Source organism: Homo sapiens, chromosome 2, assembly GCF_000001405.40.
Source record: "Homo sapiens chromosome 2, GRCh38.p14 Primary Assembly".
In the NCBI taxonomy this organism is placed as follows: domain Eukaryota; kingdom Metazoa; phylum Chordata; class Mammalia; order Primates; family Hominidae; genus Homo; species Homo sapiens.
Genome location: NC_000002.12, coordinates 86782515 through 86808422, shown reverse-complemented (window position 1 = coordinate 86808422; position 25908 = coordinate 86782515). Strand labels below are relative to the sequence as shown.

Here is a 25908-nt window from a genome sequence, read left to right as displayed (position 1 = left end):
CCCTCCCTGGGCCTCAGTTTTTCTTCCTCTGTAAAATAAATGCGCTGGGCCGGATCTTTTCTGAGTTCTCTTCTCCCCTACGAATTCTAGATCCCTCCTCTGTCCTCCCTGCGCCAGGGACCTTCGGGCGACCCTTCCCTGTACCCCCACCCCACCCTCTCTGGACCCCGTTTCTGCCTCAGTACGGCGCGCTGAGCTCTGCCCCCTGCCCAGGCCCTGACCCCCTCAGGAGCCGCGGTTTCCTGGGGTAACAGTGGGAAACGTGTCGGCCGTCTCCGCTCAGGCGCTTGCTGTGTACAGAAAGGTGAATTCATGGGAAAGGTGGCGGAGGGATCCAGGTTCTGGTGGACGCTTTACGGCTCCACCAAGGCTGGCCCCGAGATTTGCGCAGAATGAGCGGCTGAGGATGGAAGGGCTGCAAGATCCACCGCCTTACTTAGCTGGGACCCGGCCCCACCTCCTCTACAGCAGACCCTGTCTCCACCGGTGCGGTTGGTGCTAGGTTCCCAAACACACTGCTGCCGTTTCTTGTCTGACATCGCGGCCCTGCTCCTGCCTGCCTTCAGCCTGGGCTAGCCCCCCGCCCTTCCCCCAGCTCCCTGCCCCTGCGCCCACCACACTCCTCCTCCGTCTCCTTTAGGCTGATTCAGGCACACCGGCTCTCGTCGCCTTGGTGGCCCTCCCCAGCCCTCCTCCGCGCCTGCTCCGGGTGGCGCTCCGCTGGGCTCCTCGTGCGCCTGTCCGCGACCGCACCCACCTCATCCTGGCACCCCCATCGTGGCATCACGTGTTCCCTCATCTGTCCTCATGGCTGGCGTGCCCCTCTGCGGTGAGACCTGCAGAACAGGAATTGGTGCCGGGTCAGCAGCCGGCGATGAAGCCGGACGAAGCCTGCAAACCCCACCCATACGCCAGCTTCACATAGCTCCTATCCATTGCACAGCAGCGTGGGGAAGCACCGTTCTCTACCCTCCAAGTAAGAAGCTGATTGTTGGGGCACAGGGGAGATCCTATAGCATGGCTCTGCTTATGGGCACGCGCAGAAACATTCCCAAATGAATTTTTTTGTTGTTTGTTTTGTTTTGTTTCTTGTTTGTTTTAAGAGACAGGGTCTTGTTCTATCGCCCAGGCTGGAGTGCAGTGGTGCAATCACGGCTCACTACAGCCTCGACTTCCGGGCTCAAGCGATCCCCCCACCTCAGCCTCCCAAGTAGCTTGGACCATGGACCCGCGCCAGCACGCTGGCTTTTTTTTTTATTTTATTTTATTTTATTTTTTGAGAGAACCTGATTTCCTTCCAACCAATTGTGCTCTCCCAATTCCAACAACCAAATGAAGCTTCAACGCTTCTTTTTGTTCAGAGGCCTCCTGAGTCCTGTCCTACTCACAGTAAAGGCTCTGGCAAAAACAAAAACAAAAACATCATGGGGCAAAATAAACTGCATCTTAAAAAGGCTCATTTCTCTCTAGGTCTCTCTCCAATTTGTTATCTTGAAACGATTTACCCAAAATAGAAACTTTAAAAAAGTAGTGGAAAATTTTCTTTTTGCACAAGATGGTTAATTCTTTTGGGTGCTGGCCTGGGATCCATGAAATAACCTACACTCCACCATAAAGCTTTTCACTCCCATGTTTTGCAAACTGACGACCTTGCTGGGGGCAAGCTCCCCGTGTGACTTTACGAGGGAATTTGAGTGGTGCAAGCCGGAGGATGGGGCCTCACTATGTGGCCCAGGCCGGTCTCCAACTCCTGGGCTCAAGTGATGCTCCCCTCACGGCCTCCCAAAGTGCTGGGATTAGATGCGTGAGCCAACGTGCCCCGCCCAAAGGGCAGTTGACCTCAGCGTCTGAGGTGTGGAGGGAGCAGCTCGTTCCTCTTTTTCCTGCTCTACTGGGAAGGTACAAACCATACTAAGAAATCCTCTTCAGTCTGTCCCCACAAAAAGAGAAAGAGGAGTTGCTGCAGGCCAAGGACAAGGAGGAAGGGAGGAGAGAGCCCTTGACTTCTCCCACTTCTTGACTTTCCTTGCCGTGGTCTTTCCTTCCTTTTTCCAGGTCCACACCTCTCCTTCTATAGTCCTAGAAATGGGTCACCCCCTACAGGAGTCAGAGCCTTCGCCCAGCCCTCATGCTCTGAGGGTAAGTGGGTGGAAACAGACGCCTTCCCTCTCGCAATGTTTCCATCACTGCGTCCTCCACCTTGCACCACTCAGATCCCCTCGGAAAGTCACACGGGGGGCTTGCCACCAACAAGGTCATCACCGTTTGCATAACGTGGGAGTGAAAAGTTTTATGGTCGAGTTGAGGTTATTTCATGGATCCCAGGCCAGCACTCAAAAGAATTAACCAACTTATGCAAAAAGAAAAGTTTCCACTGGCTTTGTAAGGTTTCTATTTTGGGTAAACTGTTTTAAGATAACAAATTGTCACATACACATTTTGTTGTGACAATTGTCACAACAAGAGAAAAAGAAAAAGAAAGAGAGAGAGAGAAAGAAAGAAAAAGAAACGAGCCTTTTTTGGATGCAGTGTATTTTTCCCCTTTATTTACTTATTTATTTATTTTGCCACAGCCTTTACTGTGAGTAGGACAGGACTCAGGAGGGCTCTGAACAAAAAGAAGAGTTGAAGCTTCATTTGGTTGTTGGAATTAGGAGAGCACAATTGGTTGGAAGGAAATCAGGTTCTCTAAGCATCAAAAAAATTCGTATTTTAAGTGATGTGAGTTATGGAAGGCAGAGAGTTCTTGGTATATGGAAGTTACTGAAACAGAGCAGTGGACAAACGGGCAGTCTGCAGAAGAGGAAAGCTGAATAGCCAGCAAACATGGGGCCAGATGCTCGGTCTCAACCTTAACAAGAGAAGTCAGGTTTAAACAACGAGATACCATCACACCCTATGAGATTGGCAGAATTGAAAAGACTGACAAAACCAGAAATAACAAAGCTCGTGGGTAAATGAAAACTCCTCCACAGCTGGTGTGAGTGTGGACTGGAACCATGACTTCGGAGAAAAATGTATCAAAAGCTATGGGACACATCTTTCGAATCAGTCATTTCTCACAAGGTTGCCATACTCCTCAAGTCATTCCTTTTCCAGGAAAACACCCTAGAGAAAATCTTGTACTTGGACTCTAGGGAATGTGTACAAGGATGTCCATTGTAGTTTAGCTTATAACAGCAAAACCCAGCCCAAAAGTACATCAACAAAGGAATGAATAAATGAAAGTGGCAGTTGTCATTAAACCTTTTTCCTTTTCTTGTATCACCCCAAAGTATGAAAGACTATGGACTCCTTCACTCATTAAAAAAAAAAATTTAGGCCAGGTGTGGTGGCTCATGCCTGTAATCCCAACACTTAGGAAGGCTTAGGCAGGTGGATCACTTGAGGTCAGGAGTTCGAGACCAGTCTGGCCAACATGGCAAAACTCTGTCTCTACTACAAATACAAAAATTAGCCAGGCATGGTGGCGTGTGCCTGTAATCCCAGCTACTCAGGAAGCTGAAGTAGGAAAATCATTTAAGCCCAGGAGGTGGAGCTTGCAGCGAGCTGAGATCGCACCACTGCACTCCAGCCTGGGTGACAGAGCGAGACTCTGTCTCAAAAAAAAAAAAAAAAAAAAAAAAAAGATTTAGCAAGGAACAGTGAATGGCTCACCCCTGTAATCTCAGCACTTTGGGAGGCTGAGGCAGGAGGACTGCTTGAGGCCAGGAGTTGGGGGCTCAAGAGTTGGAGGCTGCAGTGAGCTGTTATCACACCAATGCACTCAACCTGGTTGACAGAGCTAGACTCTGTCTCTAAAAAAAATAATAATACTAATTTATTGTGGCAAAATACACATAACAATCTTACCATTTTAACATTTAAGTGTACAGTTCAGTGGTATTAAGTTCATGCACATTGTTGTGCAACCTTCACCACCATCCTTCTCTCTAACTCTTTTCATCTAGAAAAACTAAAACTCTATAACCGTTAAACATAACTCCCACTCCTCCCTCTCCCCAGCCTGTCCCAACCACCATTCTACTTTCTGTCTCTATTATTTTGACTACTTTAAATACCTCAAATACATAGAATCATACAGTATTTGGTTTTTTGTGACTGGCTTAATTCACTTAGCATAATATCCTCAAGATTCATCCATATTGTGGCATGTGTCAGAACTTCCTTTTTAAGGCTGAATAATATTCCACTCTATGTATATACCACATTTTGTTTGTTTAAATAAATTTTATTGTGTATATATAAGGTATATACAACATCATGGTATAAGACACACATATTTAGTAGAATGGATACTATAGTGAAACAAATTGACTTATGCATCATCTCACTTAGTTACCCATTTATTTCCTCCTGTAGCAAAAGCAACTATGCTCATCTAGCAAAAATCCTGGAATAATATGCTATTATTAATTGTAGTCTTCATATTGTACTTTATTTGACTTGTTCATCCTATATGTTTGCTACTTCGTATCCTTAGGCCTACATCTGCCCATTTCCTCTCTCCTACTCCAATCTTGATAACCACTGTTTTATTCTCTATATATTTGACCTTTTTAAAAGATTCCACAGGCCAGGCATGGTAGCTCACACCTGTAATCCCAGCACTTTGGGAGGCCAAGGCAGGTGGATCATCTGAGGTCAGGAGTTTGAGACCAGCCTGGCCAACATGGCAAAACCCCATATCTACTAAAAATACAATTAGCCAGGTGTGGTGGCAGGTGCCTGTAGTCCCAGCTACTCAGGAGGCTGAGGCAGGAGAATTACTTGAACCCAGGAGGCAGAGGTTGCGGTGAGCCAAAATTGCGCCACTGCACTCCAGCGTGGGCAACAGAGTGAGACTCCGTCTAAGAAAATAAATAAATAAAAGATTCCACATACAGGTAAGATCGTGCAATATTTTTTTTCTGTGTCTGGCTTCTTTCATTTAGCATAATGTCCTCCAGGCCCGTCTAGGTTATGGCAAATGCTATCTCCTCCTTTTTTAAGGCTGAATTCCCTTGTATATATCCGTACCACAATTTCTTAAACCATTCGTCCATTGATGGTTGTCTAGGTTGTCTCCATATCTTGGTTATTATGAATAATGCTACAATAAACACAGGAGTACAGATACCTTGGTGAGGTGGTGATTTCATTTCCTTTGGGTATGAGCCCAGAAGAGAGATGCCTGAGTCCACATTTTGTTTATCTATTCATCCAGTAATAAACACTTGGGTTGCTACCACATTTTAGCTACTGTGAAAAATGCTGTTATAAAATGAATGTACTTCTTTACTCACTTTTAACTTGACATCAAACATTTTTCATCACTATAAAGGACATAATTTCCAAAGTAAATGTTGATTTTTAAAAAAGAAAACCTTATTCTTTTTAATTATTTCTAATAGCACATAAATAATATATCAATTTTGTTTCAACCGTCACTCATTTTTAAAATACAAGAAAAAGTTCTTAACTTTTGGAAATTTTTCATCACTCCTTTTTCTCCTTAAACTTATGAATTCTAGGCCAGGCGCGATGGTTCACACCTGTAATCCCAGCATTTTGGGAAGCCAAGGCAGGCAGATCACTTGAGGCCAAGAGTTCAAGACCAACCTGGCCAAAGGGGTGAAATCCCATCTCTACTAAAAATACAAAAATTAGTCGGGTGTGGTGGTGCACACCTGAGTAGCAATCCCAGCTACTCAGGTGGCTGAGACACGAGAATCACTTGAACCAAGGAGGCAGAGGTTGCAGTGAGTGGAGATTGTGCCACTGCGGTCCAGCCTGGGCGGCAGAGTGAGACTCTGTCTCAAAAAAATAAAGAGTAAAAACAAATGGACTTATGAATTCTATTCTACTTCCTCCATAAAAGTTTAATAGGTGCATATGCTTAAGGACCTTATATTGATCAATATTTCATACTTCTCTGCCAAAAAAGCACATGAGATGAATTTTTAATTTCCTGCAACCATAAGTTTCTAAATATTAAAAGTCTTAGATTATGTCATCATTGCGACTATTAATAGTGCACAATTGTCCTTTATAGCATAAATAAACTGCAAGTCTTCAAAATTAATGAACATTAAAAGTAACCTTTGGCCAGGCATGGTGGCTCACACCTGTAATCCCAGCACTTTGGGAGGCCGAGGCAGGCAGATTACTAGAGTTCAGGAGTTTGAGACCAGCCTGGCTAACATGGTGAAATCCTGTCTCTACTAAAAATACAAAAATTAGCCAGACATGATGGCGGGTGCCTGTAATCCCAGCTACTAGGGAGGCTGAAGCAAGAGACTCACTTGAATCCAGGAGGCGGAGGTTGCAGTGGGCCCAGATCACACCACTGCACTCCAGCCTGGGCAACAGAAGAATGCTCTGTCTCTAAAAATAAATAAATAAATATAAAAGTAACCTTTGTTAGGGGAAACTGGGTGAAGGGTATGGAATTCTCTGTACCCTTTCTTGTATGTGCATGTCAATCTACAATTATCTCAAAAAAAGCTTTTTAAAACATAATTTTGGGGGAAAATTCAGCTCTTAATGAAATGGACCCCCCACAAATGAATTTTGTGGTCCAATTAATTAATGAACCCATAAAATAACAGGATTTATTTTATTTATTGATTGCTAGAATGAGACAGAGTTCAGTATTAATTTTGTTTTGCTTTTGTTTGTCATACAATGTAAGTACTGAGAAATTTTGTCTCCATAAATAAATAGTTGGCTTTGTTACAGCAGAATCACTAAATCTTTTAACTTTTTCCTTTTTTTTTCAAAAAGACAAAAGCATGAACCAGGTGCAGTGGCTCACGTCTGTAATCCCAGCATTTTGGAGGCCAAGGTGGATGGATGGATTCCTTGAGTCCAGGAGTTCAAGACCAGCCTGGGCAACATGGTGAACCCCCATCTCTACAAAAATTTAGCCAGGTATGATGGTGTGCACCCATAGTCCCAGCTACTTGGGAGGCTGAGGTGGGAGGACTGTTTGAGCCCAGGAGGTTGAGGCTGCAGTGACTCCACTGCACTCCAGCCTGGGCGAAAGTGCAAGACCCTTTCTCCAAGGGAGAAAGAGAGAGAGAGAGAGAAAGGGAGAAAGGGAAAAAGAGAGAGAGAAAGAGAGCGGGAAGGAGGGAAGGAAGGAAGGAAGGGAGGGAGGCAGGGAGGGAGGGAGACAATGTTATCTATCATCAAAAATTAATTTTAATGATCTATTAGTTGCTGTATTAGTTTGCCAGGGCTGTTTTAACAAAGTACCACAAACTAGGTGGCTTCAACAAAAGAAATTTATTGCCTCACAGTTCTAGAAGCTAGAAGTTCAGGATCAAGGTGTCAGCTGGGTGTGTTCCTTCTGAGGGCTACAGAAGGAATTTGTTCCATGCTTCTCACCTAGCTTCTAGTCAGTTGCTGGCAATCTTTGGCATTCCTTGACTTGTAGAAACATCACCCCATCTCTGCCTTGTTTTCAGATGATGTTCTCTGTGTGTGTGTCCTGATTGCCCCTTTCCACAAGGACACCAGTTATATTGGATTAGGACCCATCCTATTGGCCTCATTTGAACTTGATTACCTCTGTAAGGACCTTGTCTCCAAATAAGGTCACATTCTGAGATGCTAGAGTATAAGACTTCAACAAATATACTTGGGGGGACACAATTCAACCTGTGATAGTTGCCAAATCTAGAAGGCCTTCTTCCAATTTTGTTGAAAGCAAACACTTGGGAACCACTGACCTGCACATGGGTTTGTTACCATTTTTAGATTTATTCACTTTCTTGGGTTTTGGAAGCCCTAAACTAGGTTTTACCGAAGCCTACCAAGTAGCCATCAATGACATCATTCTTCTTTCACTTAAAAACGATTGCTGAAATTGATTAACTTGGAAAGTGTTGGGGTATTAGAAATATTTTTAATTTAATTTCAAGACAAATTCCAATACAAACAATATTGTGATATAATGTTTTTATCTTTTTTTTTCTTTCTTTTTTTTTTTTTCTGTCGCCCAGGCTGGAGTGCAGTGGTGTGATCTCGGCTCACTGCTACCTCCACCTCCTGGGTTCAAGCAATTCTCCTGCCTCAGCCTCCTGAGTAGCTGGGATTACAGGCGCTTGCCACCATGCCCGACTAAATTTTCTTTGTATTTTTAGTAGAGACGGGGTTTCACCATGTTGGCCAGGCTAGTCTCAAACTCCTGACCTTGTGATCCACCCACTGCGGCCTCCCAGAGTGCTGGGATTACAGGCATGAGCCACCGCACCTGGCCAAAATGCTTTTATCTTATCATAGATTTTAAACTTGTTAAAAGTGTTTTCTTTTCTTTCTTTTTCTAAGCTGTTTCTTTAGCGCTAAACTTGATTCTCATCAAAACCTTGGAGCTAAAGATTTAGCTCACTAGATTCAAGGAAAGTTAAAATACTGCCATTAACCTCATTGGCAAAGCTGGTCTTCAATGTCAAACCAATTAACAACTCAGACTTAATTTCTGTTAAAAAAAAAAAAAAGAATTCTGATTCCTTTTGTAATCATAATGAACACGTTAATATGCATCCTCATAATGACTGTCTCACCTCTGAATTCTAGCTCGATGATAGAGAGCTGAGTAGAGGGATGAGGCCCCAAAGCCTGCTGTGAGGCACTCTGCCTCCTGCATCCCTCCCAGATGACTCTTTTCTTTCTTTTTTTTTTGAGACAGAGTCTCGCTCTGTCGCCCAGGCTGGAGTGCAGTGGTGTGATCTTGGCTCACTGGAAGCTCCACTTCCCGGGTTCAAGCCATTCTCCTGCCGCAGCCTCCCGAGTCGCTGGGACTACAGGCGCCCGCCACCGTGCCCGGCTAATTTTTTGTATTTTTGGTAGAGATGGGGTTTCACCGTGTTAGCCAGGATGGTCTCGATCTCCTGACTTCGTGATCCGCCCACCTCGGCCTTCCAAAGTGCTGGGATTACAAGCGTGAGCCACCGTGCCCGGCCCCCAGATGACTCTACCTGGATACTGGGGACTCTGCTCAGGAGAAATGCATTCTTTGGCAATTTCTAACGGATGGAAATTACATGAAAAATGTTTGGATTTGTCTTTTTATTGGTGGCCCAGAGGATTACGTGCCCACCTCTGGAGCATAGTAAGGAACAGGAGGGCGGGAAGTTTGCCTTTCAGTTTTAAAGTGGGAAATAAAATAATCATGAAAGAATAGGCCAGAAAGGAGAACGAGCACAAAGCCTAAACACAGGGACTTGTTCTTGGGCAGGTCCATTTTATGAGAAGAGAACCAATGGGAGTTGAGAATCTGGAAAACAATTTCCTTAAAATTATGTGTATCCCCAAGGACAGCCTCCATATACTTCCAGAGAGATGAACACTCTGGTTCAAGAACCACTGAACATGAAACTGTGGCACATTCACAGGATAATACACCACACAGCATTTAAAATAAATCTATATGTATCAACATAGCTCAAAGACACACAATATGATGACATTTCTGTATTTTGAAACTCTCAGAAAATAAAATTATATAGCATTTATAGATATATATACACATATACATGTATACATATCTAGTAAACATTTCAAAACAGAGAAGGGGAAGTTGAAAGTAAATGGATAGAAAAAGATACATTATGCAGGCTGGGCACAGTGGTTCATGCCTGTAATCCCAGCACTTTGGAAGGCCAGGTGGGCAGATTGCCTGAGGTCAGGAGTTCAAAACCAGCCTGGCCAACATAGTGAAACCCCATCTCTACTAAAAATATAAAAATTAGCTGGGCATGGTGCCGTGCACCTGTAGTCCTAGCTACTCAGGAGGCTGAGACAGGAGAATTGCTTGAACCCTGGAGGCAAAGGTTGCAGTGAGATGAGATCGCACCACTGCACTGCAGCCTGGGCAACAGAGCTAGACTCTGCCTCAAAAAAAAAAAAGAAAAAGGAAAAGATACATTATGCAAACGGGAAGCATAAGAAAGTTGTGTTTCTGGCCGGGCACAGTGGCTCATGCCTGTAATCCCAGCACTTTGGGAGGCTGAGGCAGGTGGATCACCTGAGGTTGGGAGTTCGAGACCAGCCTGACCAACATGGAGAAACCCTGTCTCTACTAAAAATACAAAATTAGCCGGACGTGGTGGTGCATGCCTGTAATCCCAGCTACTCGGGAGGCTGAGGCAGGAGAATAGCTTGAACCTGGGAGGTGGAGGTTGCGGTGAGCCAACATCGTGCCATTGCACTCCAACCTGAGCAACAAGAGGGAAACTCCATCTCAAAAAAAAAAAAAAGAAAGAAAGCTCTGTTCCTTATGAATAAAAGGTAGACTTCACAACAAAGTATTACCAGAGGCAGAGGTAAAGACGAACATTTCATAATGATAAAAGAGTGAATTCATCCAGAAGGCACAATTCTAAATGTGTATGCACCTAATAACAAAGCTTCAAAATATAGGAGACAAAATATGAACTGAATTAAAAGGAGAAATAGACAAATCCACACTCATTGGACATTCGGCATCCTTCTCTCTCAGCTCCATAGGAAAGGTTAACAGATTAAAAATTAAAAAACTTACCATCTTTCTGTCATAATTAATGAACAAAACTCCAAATTTAGCTTTTCATGAGAAGGCGGGTGGGGTGGTACTTGGGAGGGTACAGTTTTATCTGTAATGTTCATGTGAAGGAAATGCGACAAAATGCTAACACTTATAAAGAGTGGGCATTTTATATTATTTGACATATTGTTCTATGTTAAAATGTTTTCAAAACTTTTTTTTAAAAAAGTGAATAGCAGAAATATTTAAATGAGTGAATAATGAATGAAGTTCAGAAGTCAACATCACTTCATCTGACATTGCCCTCCACAAGTCCCCATGCTGCCCCTACCCTCCCTTGTTGGCCTTTCTCCTGTGAGTCCTCCTCATCTTATCATCCACCAATGGCAAACATGTGGGACATCCTCATGTGGGTCAGGGGCAGACATGAGCTTACAATCTCTACCTGCCACAGGCTTTGATGTCCTCTCTGTGCTTCTCTTATAGCCCAAACCTCCCCTGTGAAGTTCTTCCACCTTCTCAAGCCCCATTCTGAATTTCCTGCACTACCTGGATTCCTTGCCAATGTTTTATTTCCTGCTCTTCAATACGAGCCTTCCCTGAAGGTTCCATATACTCTTCTGTATGTTCTTTCCACACCACCTCCCTTTGCAATGACACCCACTCTCACAACTTATCACCTCCTTCCCAAGGCTACATCCCCAGCCCTGACCCCTCTTCTGAACTCAAATCCTGGCTCTCCAGTTGCATTCAGAACGCTTCTGTTTCAGTGTTACTGAGATTAAAGATCCAAAACAATTTTGTTACCGAAACACCGGGGGATCCATCTAGGTCCTTCTGCTCACCTCACAGAAAGCCAATCACTGAGACAACAAGTATTGCCAAGGAAGAAGAATTTAGTCAGGTGCTGCAGCCAAGGAGATAGGAGATCAGTCTCAAATCCATCCCTCTGACCTGACTAAAATTAAGGGGTTTATATAGCAGGGAAGACATGTAATCATGTGTGGGAAAACAGGAAGTTGGGAGGAGTAAGGAAAAGGAGTTGGACAACAGGAAACAGGAGGTTAGTTAGGCCATCATACCAGGTGAAGAGTCTGACGTCTTATTGTTCATAATAAGTGATCTGGTGAGTTTCAGCTCATTGCTACCATCTGGGAGGCCTGATAGTTGGTTTCCCTAGAAAGGAACTCAGATAAGACAAATGTAACTTTCTCAGGTTTTAAGAAGGCAAGGATCAATTTATATGTTTATTCAAAGAAACCACAAACATCAACTCTATGGGATCATTGGATCAGTTTTACAGTAAGCATGTGTCAGCACCAAGGGAGGGGATGACAGAGAGTCAATGCAAGGTGTAACCAAAATGTGTATATTTTTCCCCATTACAGTTCAGCTTCTTACCCTCTCTGCCCAATCCAAACTGCAACAAGGATTCTCCCAATTATATTTCAAACATCCTAGCTTCCTGGGATGCCCTCTTCTCTTTACTCTTGATGTTTATAATTCACCTTGATATGTGCAAAGATGTATATGTTTTTATACTTGGCACTAAGAGTATTTTTGATCTGAGAATGTTTGTCTTTAATTGTGAAAAATTTTCAGCCATGCTTTCTTCCCATATTTCTTCTCCACATTCCCTTTGTTCTCCCCTTTCTGAAATCCTATTAAACACTTCACCATGCTAATATACATCTCAACAGCTTTTTCAAACTGCTTCTGTCTTCATCTCCCTGTGTTGCATTCTCTATGAATTTCTCAATGCTAGCTTCCAATTCATTAATTATCCCTTCAACTATGTCCAACCTAGAGTATATCCTTGTTTAATATGTAGAGTGTTCATTTCCAGTATGCTCAGTATTTATCATCTTCAACTGTTCTTCTTTAATTTCTGCATTTTCTACATTTGTTGTTCTCTTTGTTTTAAACATTTTTCAAATTGTTCAATAATTTGCCTCTTTTTGGAAGTGAATTCACATTCCACTTGTTGAGTCTTTTTTATGTATACTTTGAATTTCGAGTGTGTGTGCAGGGTTATCTTGAATAGAAATTTTTGAAAATCTCTTCCTCTCTTTACTCTCTCTTTTCCTGAGTTTTTTAAAGTAGCCTCTGACTTTCCAGGGCCCACAGTCAGAACTAGGCCTTACATGGGTGGCTGTGGGCTCTCTTTCAATCAAGAGAAAATCAGATCCAAATCCCTGTTTCAAGCAGAGAGCCTGGCTCCAGCCTTCCTCTATAGGCAAAGCACTGTGAAACTCTGTTAGCTGAAGGAGTCAAACTCTTGGTGCCTCTACACTAAGAACAGACCCTCAAGACCCAGGCCCAAGAATGGTTTGCTAAGAACAGATCCCAGCAAGCCAGCCCCTGATTCCAGCCATTGTCCTGCAACTACATCCTTGAAGACGTTTATCTTGCTTTTGAGTACATCTGCCTTCTCCCCTTCCTCCTCTTCTTTTGTTTTTAACTATACCATTGCTATATGTTAAAGCATGGTATCAGCTGATCTTGATCAGACATATCAAATGCCTCATTCTAAACAACCTCTCTCCTAATTCTTCCTTTATCTTCAAACCCAACTATATGTGAAGCCTTTCCTGACCACTCTTACTTGGAATGAACTATCTAAGCCTCCTCTGGTCTGCTGTACCCTACTTCTACCTTCCTTTAGCTTTTACTGAGCAAGAATTTCTTGAGTGTGTGCCACTCAAGTGTGTGCCAAGCCCTCTGTTTGGCACCCTGGTGTAAACATGAGAGGGACAAGGCTCCTTCCTCAAGGGACCAAGGGTTTGGTTGTCAAGCTGGACAGGCAAACAAACCATTGTGCTCCAGTCTGCAGATACCCAAGGTCCGGGTGACACAGAGAAGAGAAGGATGTGGTCTGTACTGTCTGGGAGTGGGAGGGGGAAGGAGCTAAACCCCACAGGAAGGAGATGCTTGAGCTGGGTCTTAAGGGAGAGGAGTTTGGTAAGCAGAGAGCAGAGGTGAGAACATTCTTGGCTGAGGGAATAGCATGTTTAATGGCTCTGAAGTGGAAAGGACTAGGGTCCGCTTGAGAAATGAGAGATGCGGAACCTAGGAGGAGTGAAGAAGGTGACAGACAAGAGGACAGAGACTATGAAACCAAGTGTGCAGGGCCTCACAGGCAACATTAGGGATCCCCGACATTCTACTAGGGACACCAGGAAGTCCTTTCAGGTTGAAGCAGGGGGTTGGCATGATGAGATTTTCTCTAGAAGGGACCAGAGCAGAAATGGGGTTGGCCAGTTAAGAGGCCATTGCAAAAGTCCAGGAAAGAAGGACAGCAGCTAGATGAACTTGGGGAACTCGGGGTGGAGGAAAAGAAAGGTGACAGAAGTGAGGCCAAATTGATTGGTATTTCCAATTAAGATAAAACAAGCCCTGATAACTCTAGAGTTTCTAGCCCTGGACAAGCTAACTCCTTCCAAGAACAGTAACATCTCCATAGACCTGAATTGGCGATGGGGACACAGCAGGCAATTTCCCAGCCATGATTCCAAGTTGTCCCTGCAGTTCATGTCTTAGGAGCAGTGGCACAGAACCCTGATGGATTTCCTACCACTGCTCTGCCCGGTTTTGCATTTTGAATATGTCTTTAATCTACATTAAAGTTTTCCATTTCCATGGACCAGTTTAAATCAGCATAGAAACTGGTTACTATCTTACTCTATCTACTTCTGGATATTTTTTTAAATAAGGGGCTTGCTTAAAGGAGTGCAGTCATTCACATTTCTTCATGCCATCCCAAGTCAGTGCTACAGTGTGGGGTTTGGGAACTTACCTGGCAGTGATGGACAGGCCCAACCCAGCCCTCTGCACACCTGGTCTACAGAAAGTTTCTCCAGAACTTGTGCAATTGCATCTGTTCTGCCACTGCAAGGCGGATGTCATTGTGGTCACATCGAAAATCCACCACGTTCTGCAAAAAATATCACTGGGGTCACAAAGCCTCCTTGATGGGTTTGACATGTTGCCTTATCCTCCCCACCCCAACCCCCATGGTGCTCTGTACAAAGGGGCTGCCACCCCACTGGCTGACACTTTTCTGAGCTGCAGGGCTAGAAGGCCCCCAAGCTGATTTCCGTGAGACTAAGATGGAACTAGTCTATTTTAAAGCAGTACACCCCCAAATCTGGCCATCATCACACTCAGGGGCCTGATTCTCAAGATCCAAATAGGTGGAGGTTGACTCTGGCCCCCTCAGTGCTTCCACCACTGGGCAAGTGCAGTTTCGTGTCTAGCCATCTTCCTTACCACCCTGTTGATTGTAGCCTTTGGCCAGCAGGGCCATTTGACACTCCTGATACAGTGCTGGTGGTGCTGAGCAAAATGGCAAACTACCATCTACAGCAAGAATTGATGTGTTGGTGGCCTGTCTGGACTTGATTGCTTCCTTGTCTCCCTCATTCATGTGAGTTGAGGGACAGCACTGTGTCTACACAGCGAGGGACCCTCATACCATGCACACACACACACACATGCATACATCGATAGGCCAGTTATAACCATCATTGTAAAGGTGTTTTCTTCCCCAACTCCCTCATCTCCCATTTGAAAAAGCTGCAGGTACTGGTGCAAGCCCTCAGTGATACAGATACATTATATCTACCACAGCCTTGCTAGTGTTGCAATAATGAGAAATCGCCTAAATGTCCACTAACAGCAGAATTAAATTATGGAACACCCATATATAATGCACCCATTTATAAGAATGGGGTGGATCTTCATCTGCTGAACGCTCTCCTTCTACTGTGAAACAAGATAGGTTGCAAAAAAATATTTATCTCATACAATCCCATGTGTCTAAGATGATGTATAAACATCTGTTTATGTACAGATAATATCTAAGGGACACATTCAACTGTAACAGTGGTTTTCTGTGGGGAGCAGGTGACAGTGAGGAGAGTTGAGACAGGGAACTTTGTGTTTGTTTTCGTACAAGAATATATTGCACTGTTGTCACTTAAAAGACATTTTTAAAAATTTCTGAATATAAAATGTTACATGTTCCATGCTAGAATAAGCATCTTGGATGCTTTGAGGGAGCTGGAAGGAGGTACTGAAATCAAAATAATTAAAAAAAAAAAAAAAAGCCCATCCAGGCCCTGATATGGTGGCTCACACCTGTAATCTCAACACTTTGGAGGCCAAGGCGGGGCAAAGCGCCTGACCTCGGGCATTGGAGACCAGCCTGGGCAACATGGTGAAACCCCATCTCTACCAAAAATACAAAAAATTAGCTGGGCATGGTGGTGTGCTCCTGTGGTCCCAGCTACTTGGGAGGCTGAGGTGGAAGGATCACTTGAGCCTGGGAGGTAGAGGCTGCAGTGAGCCGAGGTGGTGCCACACTGCACTCCAGCCTGGGCAACACAGCCAGACCCCATCTCAAAAAAAAAAATAGCAACAACGACAAAGAACCCATCCAACACTTAAGTTTGTACTTCACAAGGACAAGGAGAATGCAGTTCAACAAGCACAGCTCAGCCCATGCTGTGTTTCTGGGGATGGAGGACACATCATGAAGTCTCGGCATGGTCCTCGCCCAGCAGAACTAATGGGTGGGGCAGACACATGGAACACAGAATGCCAGGTGTCTTGTCTCTAGGATCAAGCAGTAGCAATGTGAGGTGCAGCCACTATGGGATTCAAAGTGGAAAGACTCAGAAACCCTGAAGAAATGGGAAGAGGGCATGCCACTGGAGCTGGAAGGTTTCAGGACAGCAACAGTCAAAAAGGAAAGATGAGCCTGTAGTCCCAGCTACTCAGGGGGCTGGGGTGGGAGGATCACTGGAGCTCAGGAGTCCCAAGGCCAGCCTGAGCAAAACAGCGAGACTCCAGTCTTTTTTATTTTATTTTATTTTTTAAAGAAACAAAAAGGAAGGGGACACACATGTGTTAGGGACAGAAAAGAGAAAACCGCCTCTACCCAAGCATTCACCCACATCACCCACACCTCCCTGCAGAGCACCCAGAGCTGGGGGTGAAAGAAATGAGGTCCAAATGAGACAGCACAGGAGCTGCCTCCAGGGCTTAAACAGACCAGCATTCCAGGCCGAGGGACCGCAAGTGCAAGGGCGTGAAAGCACAGAGCGCAGGGGTTGAATGACTTCAAGCCTGTGAAGCTGCAGCTGCAGGTGTATGGGAAAGGCAGGGCAGGGGGCTGTGCGGAGGCTGGGAGGAGCCAGCACCCAAGGGCTGGTCAACCAAGCTGGGGGTTGAATTTCCATCCAGCAATGCAGGCCATGGGAGGCTGCAGCAGTGACGCTGTCAGATCCCCTTTGTGAGAATAATAATTTTTATAACAACGTGGCTGGAGGACTGATCAGGAGAGAGACTGGTGTGAATTGAAGGCTGTTGCAATGGCTCCAAGAAGAGATGAGGCTGTGTGGTGAGTTTAGCCGCTGGATGAAAGGCCGGAAGAATGAGGTCAGCAGCGCACTGACACCGACACCCAAAGCTTCGGCTGCTGCCGCTCTCATGGAAATCTCCTGGGGGAAGGGAGAGGGTCCTTCCTCGGTGAAAACTGGGGCTGCTCTAGCGAGTTCCTCAGAAGCGGGCAGGTCGCTAGTTCCTCTTCCTTTTCAGCCCTCAGTGCCCATTTTGCCAATAAAAAGTCCCAAGGTGACAGTACAAGAGACGCCTTTAGTGAAGGCAAAGGAAGGGACACTCCCCTCCTTTGCTGCCTACTCTCGCCCTCACTTCTTGAAATCTTTGGTCTCCCTTCACCCACTCTGTCACTCTCACAAGACAACCATTTCCAAGGACTATTTCCAAGCCCTTTTCCTCATCCCCAAACCCGCAGTTTTCAGCTGCCCCCAGTTGCCTGGCCAGGCTGCCTCGACGGCCCTATTCACGGGCCCCAGCCTCCTCGCCGGGCTGGAAGGCGACAACCGCGAAAAGGAGGGTGACTCTCCTCGGCGGGGGCTTCGGGTGACATCACATCCTCCAAATGCGAAATCAGGCTCCGGGCCGGCCGAAGGGCGCAACTTTCCCCCCTCGGCGCCCCACCGGCTCCCGCGCGCCTCCCCTCGCGCCCGAGCTTCGAGCCAAGCAGCGTCCTGGGGAGCGCGTCATGGCCTTACCAGTGACCGCCTTGCTCCTGCCGCTGGCCTTGCTGCTCCGTGAGTTTGAGACGCCCGGGAAGGCAGGGGATGGGGCGGGCGGGGGGCGGGGGGCGCGGGACTGCGGGCTCAGCCTCGCTGCTTGCCGCCTGCAGACGCCGCCAGGCCGAGCCAGTTCCGGGTGTCGCCGCTGGATCGGACCTGGAACCTGGGCGAGACAGTGGAGCTGAAGTGCCAGGTGCTGCTGTCCAACCCGACGTCGGGCTGCTCGTGGCTCTTCCAGCCGCGCGGCGCCGCCGCCAGTCCCACCTTCCTCCTATACCTCTCCCAAAACAAGCCCAAGGCGGCCGAGGGGCTGGACACCCAGCGGTTCTCGGGCAAGAGGTTGGGGGACACCTTCGTCCTCACCCTGAGCGACTTCCGCCGAGAGAACGAGGGCTACTATTTCTGCTCGGCCCTGAGCAACTCCATCATGTACTTCAGCCACTTCGTGCCGGTCTTCCTGCCAGGTCCGCGCGCCGGGTTGCGGCACCTCTCCGCGTGGGGCTTGGGGTTCACCTCAACCTGTTTTCCACACCTGGGCCCTGCTTTCAAGCCTCTTAGCGCACCTGGAAGCGACTTAGATACTGTTCCCATTTCACAGACACAGCAAACTGAGGCTAACGCGAGGCTGAGTAGGGACTGGGGATGGCTTTTTACGTCCGGCCGATCTGGACTCGAGTTCGGATTCTTGTGTGATTCTGGGCAAATGACTTAAATTATCTGCGCCTCCGTTTGCTCGTGGGTAAAATGCGGACAGCAATCAACCCGCGCTCCAGGGTTGCTGGTTCAGCCCGGGAGAGAGGCCAGGTGCAGGGGAGCTGGCTCCTGCGCTCCGGCTCTGGGCGCCGGGTGCGCTGGGCTGAGCCGAGGCCCGAGCACAGGGGTCCGCGCGCATCCCGGGGTCCCCATCCTGTCTCCTCTGCTATCCCTTCTCCCAGGAAAACCGGGGGGAGGCGTCCCCGTGGGGAAAGGTGCGCGAGGCCGGGGCTGGGGCGCCTCCATAACCCCAGCCTGGCCCCCAACCACGCTCTGTTGCTCTTGCAGCGAAGCCCACCACGACGCCAGCGCCGCGACCACCAACACCGGCGCCCACCATCGCGTCGCAGCCCCTGTCCCTGCGCCCAGAGGCGTGCCGGCCAGCGGCGGGGGGCGCAGGTGAGGCGTGCGGGGGCCCGGGGCGGGGGCGGCACGCACCGCGGGGAGAGCCCATGCCAGGGACAGCCCTGATACTGTAGGTAGAGTCAAGGGCTGTCCAAGTGGTGGGAAACCGAGATCTGAGGCGGAGAGACGTTCCCGGGACGGTGGGGCGGTTGGGAGGTCCCGGGCCCTCTCCTAAATGTCGGCGTCTTTGGTGTCGTCAGTGCACACGAGGGGGCTGGACTTCGCCTGTGATATCTACATCTGGGCGCCCTTGGCCGGGACTTGTGGGGTCCTTCTCCTGTCACTGGTTATCACCCTTTACTGCAACCACAGTAAGTCCCGAGGAATCGCGGCGGGAAGGAGTCGGCCCCGCTCCTGCCCTTGGCTCTGCTAGCTCCAGGCGGACCTTGCGAGGGGGGAGCTTGGGGTTGAGTTTTCTGGGACTCCCGAGCTGCCCCGCAGGTACAGGCACTTCTTTCTGGGAGATAGAATGCGAGAAAGCCCTTCCCGCTCCTTGCGCTCTCGGAGAGGTTTTGGGAGACAAAGCCGCGTTCCCAGAGCCGCTGCAGCGGGTGTGTTCCGTCGACGAAGCCCGCAGCGCGCGCGCACATGTCTGGACACATGACAAACGCCCGCCGGGAGGGGGCCGCTGTGGCCGAGTCAAGTGCCCAGGAGGGTTAGTCAAAACCACCATCAGTTTGAGGTTCGTCCTTGGCCCTCTTCGGCGAACCGCCCACCCTGCTTTGGGTCCCATGCAAGAGAGGTGCCGGATCAGGTCTGCAGGCTCCCCGCTTTCGCCCGCGTCTGTAGTTGCAATTTTTTTTAATTGATGCTTGAGACGAAGGATGGATAAGAAGCCCTTACCCGGCTCTCAAGAGTTATAATCCTCAAAGAAATAGGGGAAAGGAAGGAGAATTCGTAGAGGCAATTCCCTATTTGCCTCATCCAATTTCAGCCCATGATCGTTCTGAAATGATTTTTTGTAAAACCAAAAAACAGCAGCAACAACAACAGCAACAACAAAAAATACACTGTCTTTGGGGACTATTGATGGATAGGGGCACTCACTTTTTCCCTTCTTTTTCCTTATCCAGGGAACCGAAGACGTGTTTGCAAATGTCCCCGGTGAGTCTCTTTTGAACTCAGCCTGCTCACCTTGGCCAGCCCTGGGGTGGGGTCCTGGTTTCCCCAGCAGCAAATAGTGGGAACTTTTCCCAGAGAGAGGTCATGGCCGTGAAATCCTGGGGCAGGGAGTCAGCCAGTTCCTGAGCAAAGAGAGGCCAAGGCTGGCATCTGGCCTGTGTCTTTGAGAAAAAGGAGGCCCGGGTTAGGCGGGTGCCAACAGCAGTGTGACTCCAGTAAATCTCCATCTTATTTGACCTGGCACTTCCAAAAAAAAAAAAAAAAAACCTGAGGGATTCCCCCAATTTATCCTAGCTCCTCGTAGGACCTGACCTCCTCTTTATTCTGATTATTCCATCTGGGTTTTGTTGTTTTCTTAAGAAAACAATTTTTTTTCCTACTTGGCTGGTCTAGTTTTTTGAGGGAGAGCCAATCTTTTATCAGCTGAACCAAAATAATAATGGCTTTGGTTGCTAACTTCTCTGTGTCATGTAGGACCTTGGTTTGCTGCCAAGGACTGGAGTAGAAAAAAGGGGAACGAGATGCAGGGACAATTGGCTATCTGGCAGCTCAAGTGACTGCCTCATCCAGTTTCAGCCCATGATCACACACACACACACACACACACACACACTCTCTCTCTCTCTCCCTCTCTGTTAAAAACCTCTCTCCACCCGTTGGCTGAGGCATCCCTGTGGTAGCATCTAACAAGTGCCTGCTCTAGTCAGGCACTGTGATAGGGGTAATACTCCCCATCTCTCTTAATCCTCACAGCAACTTTGTGCCATCTCATGGCTCAGGGATTAGTAAAGTGGCAAAGGCACATTAAACTCAGATTATCAATAGTAATAACCATTTGATGAAAGCCTACAACGCACGTTACTTGCTTTATAGATTTTTTTTAATTTTAAGTTTTATGACAACTTTTAAAGTAGTCATGATTACCTGCATTTTACAGATAAGGAAACTGAGGCTTAGAACATTTAGTGATTTGTCCAAGGTCATACTGCCCGGGAGCTGCAACTTCCATCCAAAGCTCAGACACCTTCCCCATGGCTGCAGGCTGAAGTGTTAAGGATAACCGACTGTGTACACCAGTTCTTTTCAGTAGATGAAATATTTTACATTTTATACCTGGAGTTTGCATTTTATACTCCTTTACATTTTTCTGAGGGAATCCAAGTTCAGGACTTTACACATTGTTGTTTTTAGCAATGGAAATGCAATGGATTTCCAATGCATATGTTACAGGTGATATACCAAGGGGATAAAGACTTTGAAAATGAGCCGGGTATTGTGGTGCATGCCTATAATCCGGGCTACTCAGGAGGCTGAGGCAGGAGAATCGCTTGAACGTGGGAGGCGGAGGTTGCAGTGAGCTGAGATCGTACCACTGCACTCCAGCCTGGGTAACAGAGCAAGATTCCATCTCACAAAAAAAAAAAAAAAAAGTGGGGGGGGAAGTTTTTAGCTTTTCTTTTCTTTTCTTTTCTTTTTTTTTTTTTTTTTTTTTGAGACGGAGTCTCGCTATGTCGCCCAGGCTTGAGTGCAGTGGTGCGATCTCGGCTCACTGCAAGCTCCGCCTCCCGGGTTCACGCCATTCTCCTGCCTCAACCTCCCAAGTAGCTGGGACTACAGGCACCCGCCACAACACCCGGCTAATTTTTTGTATTTTTAGTAGAGACGGGGTTTCACCGTGTTAGCCAGGATGGTCTCGATCTCCTGACCTCGTGATCCGCCCGCCTTGGCCTCCCAAAGTGCTGGGATTATAGGCGTGAGCTACCGCACCCGGCCAGTTTTTAGCATTTTTATTATTCAGGGTGCACTTTGGAACTTTTGCAGAAGGACCATCCCTTTTCTCGATCTTTTCTGAAAACTCTCATTTTGAGATGAATAACTGAGAATAAAGTTCTGCCTTAAAATACAAAGCTATACAGATTAAACACACCTGGGAAATTCCAACACCCGAGTTAATATACTCAGTGATGATGGTGGGCCGCTCAGCTTCAACAGAGAGGTTTTAGAGGGCTGAGAGTGCAGACATGACGCTCATGATGAATTAGCATGTTTACAAGGTGCTAGCCTGGTGCTGAATTAACACGTTTTTAGCGTAACATCATTTGGCTGATGGTGGTGATTTGCTCACATCCTCCTCTCTCCCTGTCATCCTCCGGGGCTGAGAATCAGGTCAGCTAATGACTTTGGTTATCAGTCTCACTCTCACACCTCTGTGGAGACCTTGACAGGGGCTCCAGGAAGCTAGACTAACTCGGTTTAGATCCTGGCTCAGCCACCTCCTAGATGTGTGACCTTGGGCAAGTTTAACTTCTCAATCTCAGTGCCCACCCTTAAGGCTGCTGTGAGGATTACATGAGATGGTGCAAGTAAGGCATTTAGCACGGGTGCTGTGCTGACGTCATTCACCCAGTCCCATGCTGGTGCCCCAGGAACAGGTTCTCAGACCTTTCAAAGGCTGGGGGATTGGGAGGCTGGACGTGGCTGGATGGATGCTGCACTGGCGGGGTTCTGGCTACAATGATGGTCGCTTTCCTCTCTTTCAGGCCTGTGGTCAAATCGGGAGACAAGCCCAGCCTTTCGGCGAGATACGTCTAACCCTGTGCAACAGCCACTACATTACTTCAAACTGAGATCCTTCCTTTTGAGGGAGCAAGTCCTTCCCTTTCATTTTTTCCAGTCTTCCTCCCTGTGTATTCATTCTCATGATTATTATTTTAGTGGGGGCGGGGTGGGAAAGATTACTTTTTCTTTATGTGTTTGACGGGAAACAAAACTAGGTAAAATCTACAGTACACCACAAGGGTCACAATACTGTTGTGCGCACATCGCGGTAGGGCGTGGAAAGGGGCAGGCCAGAGCTACCCGCAGAGTTCTCAGAATCATGCTGAGAGAGCTGGAGGCACCCATGCCATCTCAACCTCTTCCCCGCCCGTTTTACAAAGGGGGAGGCTAAAGCCCAGAGACAGCTTGATCAAAGGCACACAGCAAGTCAGGGTTGGAGCAGTAGCTGGAGGGACCTTGTCTCCCAGCTCAGGGCTCTTTCCTCCACACCATTCAGGTCTTTCTTTCCGAGGCCCCTGTCTCAGGGTGAGGTGCTTGAGTCTCCAACGGCAAGGGAACAAGTACTTCTTGATACCTGGGATACTGTGCCCAGAGCCTCGAGGAGGTAATGAATTAAAGAAGAGAACTGCCTTTGGCAGAGTTCTATAATGTAAACAATATCAGACTTTTTTTTTTTATAATCAAGCCTAAAATTGTATAGACCTAAAATAAAATGAAGTGGTGAGCTTAACCCTGGAAAATGAATCCCTCTATCTCTAAAGAAAATCTCTGTGAAACCCCTATGTGGAGGCGGAATTGCTCTCCCAGCCCTTGCATTGCAGAGGGGCCCATGAAAGAGGACAGGCTACCCCTTTACAAATAGAATTTGAGCATCAGTGAGGTTAAACTAAGGCCCTCTTGAATCTCTGAATTTGAGATACAAACATGTTCCTGGGATCACTGATGACTTTTTATACTTTGTAAAGACAATTGTTGGAGAGCCCCTCACACAGCCCTGGCCTCTGCTCAACTAGCAGATACAGGGATGAGGCAGACCTGACTCTCTTAAGGAGGCTGAGAGCCCAAACTGCTGTCCCAAACATGCACTTCCTTGCTTAAGGTATGGTACAAGCAATGCCTGCCCATTGGAGAGAAAAAACTTAAGTAGATAAGGAAATAAGAACCACTCATAATTCTTCACCTTAGGAATAATCTCCTGTTAATATGGTGTACATTCTTCCTGATTATTTTCTACACATACATGTAAAATATGTCTTTCTTTTTTAAATAGGGTTGTACTATGCTGTTATGAGTGGCTTTAATGAATAAACATTTGTAGCATCCTCTTTAATGGGTAAACAGCATCCGATTTTGGTTGTGCCATCATTTATTTAACTATTACCTGATATTTAGTTGTTTCCAACCTTTTCCTACTATAACACTCTTAAAATGTTGCATATATTTTTGTTTCTTTAGGATAAAGACCTAAAAGTAAAATTATTGAATCAGTCCCCACCTTCACCTGAGCCTGCCATTTTCACATCAATCAAAACAGATTAGCTTCATCCTGCATTACCCTTCTTCCTTTTGTTCTTTCTTGGTAACAGAGGAGACGATGCTCCTTTCATGATAAATCACTAAGTCATCTTGTTGTTGAGGTAAAATATTCGTACTGAAAATTGCTTAAGTCGTAAATGTACAGCTCGATGACATCATAAAGCAAACACACCCATGTAATCAGCCCTCCAGAAGTCTGTCGTTAGTTTTAAAACCAAGATACTTTTAGAGAATGGAAAGCAAGAGTGGCTTTCTGTTCTCTAAATGAAGTAGCCTATGTGTGAAAGCAGAAGAGAAAGCTGATAAATTACCCATGAGACAAATTCCCCATGTCGCTCCTCCCTGAGCCCAGCTGACAGGGCCAGGAGGTGCCCAGCACACCCAGTCAAGGCAGGTGCCAGGTTTTGAGGCCTCCTGTGGAAGCAGGGCCTGGGCTCGGGGCTATCTCTGAATTCCCTGGGAAGGATGAGCATCTCACAACAGGTCGCTCCCCTTCTCATGGGAGAAACTTGTGAAGTTGACCCTGGAGCACCAATGAATGTCAAAGAATCTGTGCCAGGGCAAAAACAGGAAAAGGGCATTTCTGCCAAAAGCAGCATTTCCTCTTCAACCTTGAGCTCAAAGTTGGTGGTGGTGGGCGGTGGAGAGGCCACCCTTGGGAGGCTCCAGAGAGGGCCAAATACTTACTGATTTTTTTAATATCCTCAAAACAACCAGGATTTCACTTGCCACAAGTAAAATGGTAAACAGTAATTTGGAAATTAAAAATATCAATATAGGAACATCCATTCATTAGAGTTGGCCCTCTGGACCAGGAAGAAAATAGAAAACAAATCTGCAAGCCATGCAGGCCTAAAGCATGCTCATGGTGGGCTGTGAATTCAGGCTTAGCAATCACTGACAACCACAGACCTCCAACTTGTTCATTCTACACGTGCAGAAGGAGCACCCAACAGTTCAGACCTGCCAGCCTCGGGTCCAACAATGTTTATTTGCCACTTGCTAGCCTGAGACATTGGTTCTACAAACCCTCTTACTATGTGGAAGATGCCCATAACAGGCTCTTTTTGACCCTGAAAAACACAAAGGATAGAAATGACTCCTCTATTATGCTGTAAACTTGGTATCAGCTGCTGGAATCCAGCCTCAGTGTGGTTCATTTAATATTCATTCATTTAATAAAAAATATCCTATTTGTGGAAGAGACAAGCCAGAGAGAAATTTGTCATTTTCCTTCTCCAGCTTTCAGCTGGTTTTAAGAGAGCCCATTCTACCTTTGAAAATTCCCTGTGAATCTTTATCCAAGTGGGTTAGGAAGAAATCTCCCTTTTCTATCAGCCGGAAACTGCCCCCATTCCTGCCCTGGGTCTGTGTGCAAATACTTCTCTGTACGCAATTTTATCAATACCTTAAGAGGTGCTTAAGAGGCAGCACCACTTAAGCTGCTCCTAAAAGCAGGGTTGAGCAGCATTTCTCCACCAAAGGGAACTAAAGGAGGCCTCAGTAGCATAGTGGTTAAACGCAGAGGCTCTAAACCAGCCTCCTGACGCCAGGCACAGCAGCTCAGGTCTGTAATCCCAGCACTTCGGGAGGCCATGACAGGCAGATCGACTGAGTCCAAGAGTTCGAGACCAGCCTGGGAAACATGGTGAAACCCCATTTCTACAAAAAATACAAAAAAATTAGCCAGGTATGGTGGCACACACCTGTAGTCCCAGCTACTCAGGAGGATCTCTTGAGCCCAGACGTTTGAGGCTTCAGTGAGCCAAGACCGTGCCACTGTACTTCATCCTGCGCAATGGAGCACGACTGTCTCAAACAAAAACAAAATAAACCAACCTCCTGGCTCTGCTACTTGTTAACTACGTGTTCTCTGGCAAGCGACTTAATGTCTTGATCCCT

General features: G+C 46.7%; 1 protein-coding gene and 1 long non-coding RNA gene across 11 annotated transcripts in view, besides 17 other annotated features; one reads left to right on the top strand and one right to left on the bottom strand.

Annotated features, from left to right (window-relative positions):
- Window positions 1-14446, bottom strand: part of LOC105374846 (uncharacterized) — a 28486-nt gene extending 14040 nt beyond the window's left edge. For both annotated transcript variants that reach the window (XR_940321.3, XR_940322.3), the window contains exons 1-2: window positions 11593-14446; window positions 758-836 (exon numbers count right to left, since the gene is read on the bottom strand). This is a non-coding gene — a long non-coding RNA (uncharacterized LOC105374846). The remainder of the gene's footprint in view (window positions 1-757; window positions 837-11592) is intronic.
- On the top strand, window positions 27-23818 carry CD8A (CD8 subunit alpha). Of its 9 annotated transcripts, NM_001145873.1 has the most exons (9): window positions 27-304; window positions 641-976; window positions 6766-6912; window positions 17328-17646; window positions 17742-18095; window positions 18673-18783; window positions 18990-19100; window positions 19863-19893; window positions 22452-23818. In NM_001145873.1, exons 4-9 carry the CDS (start codon window positions 17598-17600, stop codon window positions 22501-22503), a joined length of 708 nt encoding a protein of 235 aa, NP_001139345.1. In that variant the 5' UTR covers window positions 27-304; window positions 641-976; window positions 6766-6912; window positions 17328-17597; the 3' UTR covers window positions 22504-23818. The 9 variants fall into 9 exon arrangements, 4 of the variants coding, with proteins under 4 accessions (NP_001139345.1, NP_001369627.1, NP_001759.3 ...); NR_168480.1 differs by lacking the exons at window positions 27-304; window positions 18990-19100 and adding an exon at window positions 381-486 and having other exon boundaries at window positions 16757-17646; window positions 22452-23813; NR_168478.1 differs by lacking the exon at window positions 27-304 and having other exon boundaries at window positions 381-976; window positions 16757-17646; window positions 22452-23813.
- Window positions 17975-18809: an enhancer, noted in NCBI's record as "H3K27ac-H3K4me1 hESC enhancer chr2:87016737-87017571 (GRCh37/hg19 assembly coordinates)". NCBI's record gives its function as "activates a minimal SCP1, AML or CMV promoter by ChIP-STARR-seq in naive H9 embryonic stem cells {active_cell/tissue: H9 hESC(naive)}" and the evidence as "EXISTENCE:reporter gene assay evidence [ECO:0000049][PMID:30033119]".
- Window positions 19238-19638: a DNaseI hypersensitive site, noted in NCBI's record as "HS1; the nucleotide coordinates are approximate for this feature". NCBI's record gives the evidence for it as "EXISTENCE:in vivo cleavage assay evidence [ECO:0001075][PMID:8413295]".
- Window positions 19238-22347: a biological region, named in NCBI's record as "CD8A intronic regulatory region". NCBI's record gives its function as "regulatory_interactions: CD8A".
- Window positions 20347-22347: a DNaseI hypersensitive site, noted in NCBI's record as "HS2 and HS3; HPB.ALL and Jurkat cells; the nucleotide coordinates are approximate for this feature". NCBI's record gives the evidence for it as "EXISTENCE:in vivo cleavage assay evidence [ECO:0001075][PMID:8413295]".
- Window positions 21170-21323: a mobile genetic element, noted in NCBI's record as "half-Alu stem L described in PMID:7853405".
- Window positions 21170-21556: a sequence secondary structure, noted in NCBI's record as "cruciform structure or double stem-loop formed between two Alu sequences and supported by P1 nuclease cleavage". NCBI's record gives its function as "blocks enhancer activity" and the evidence as "EXISTENCE:in vitro cleavage assay evidence [ECO:0001058][PMID:7853405]".
- Window positions 21192-21375: a transcriptional cis regulatory region, noted in NCBI's record as "delta204 to XmnI region". NCBI's record gives its function as "position-dependent negative regulator of enhancer activity" and the evidence as "EXISTENCE:reporter gene assay evidence [ECO:0000049][PMID:8413295, PMID:7853405]".
- Window positions 21192-22243: an enhancer, noted in NCBI's record as "SphI/AflII hCD8-ED deletion fragment". NCBI's record gives its function as "required for CD8A expression in NK1.1+ bone marrow cells in mouse transgenic model" and the evidence as "EXISTENCE:knockout evidence [ECO:0001091][PMID:8921442]".
- Window positions 21192-22347: an enhancer, noted in NCBI's record as "SphI/XmnI fragment". NCBI's record gives its function as "enhancer in JM and Jurkat T cell lines" and the evidence as "EXISTENCE:reporter gene assay evidence [ECO:0000049][PMID:8413295]".
- Window positions 21403-21684: a mobile genetic element, noted in NCBI's record as "Alu stem R described in PMID:7853405".
- Window positions 21404-22063: an enhancer, noted in NCBI's record as "653 nt core enhancer, defined by Tth111I/delta280 site". NCBI's record gives the evidence for it as "EXISTENCE:reporter gene assay evidence [ECO:0000049][PMID:8413295]".
- Window positions 21406-21436: a protein binding site, noted in NCBI's record as "GATA-3 probe". NCBI's record gives the evidence for it as "EXISTENCE:protein binding evidence [ECO:0000024][PMID:8413295]".
- Window positions 21495-21523: a protein binding site, noted in NCBI's record as "upstream LYF1 probe". NCBI's record gives the evidence for it as "EXISTENCE:protein binding evidence [ECO:0000024][PMID:8413295]".
- Window positions 21629-21657: a protein binding site, noted in NCBI's record as "downstream LYF1 probe". NCBI's record gives the evidence for it as "EXISTENCE:protein binding evidence [ECO:0000024][PMID:8413295]".
- Window positions 21781-21811: a protein binding site, noted in NCBI's record as "TCF-1 probe". NCBI's record gives the evidence for it as "EXISTENCE:protein binding evidence [ECO:0000024][PMID:8413295]".
- Window positions 22026-22056: a protein binding site, noted in NCBI's record as "Ets-1 probe". NCBI's record gives the evidence for it as "EXISTENCE:protein binding evidence [ECO:0000024][PMID:8413295]".
- Window positions 24131-24230: an enhancer, noted in NCBI's record as "active region_16165". NCBI's record gives its function as "activates an Ori minimal core promoter by ATAC-STARR-seq in GM12878 lymphoblastoid cells {active_cell/tissue: GM12878}" and the evidence as "EXISTENCE:reporter gene assay evidence [ECO:0000049][PMID:35858748]".

Coding starts and splice junctions, on each gene's coding strand:
- CD8A (NM_001145873.1), top strand. CDS start 17,598: ATGGCCTTACCAGTGACCGCCTTGCTCCTGCCGCTGGCCTTGCTGCTC. Junction 18,784..18,989: donor GCCAGCGGCGGGGGGCGCAG/GTGAGGCGTGCG, acceptor TGGTGTCGTCAG/TGCACACGAGGGGGCTGGAC. Junction 19,101..19,862: donor CACCCTTTACTGCAACCACA/GTAAGTCCCGAG, acceptor TTCCTTATCCAG/GGAACCGAAGACGTGTTTGC.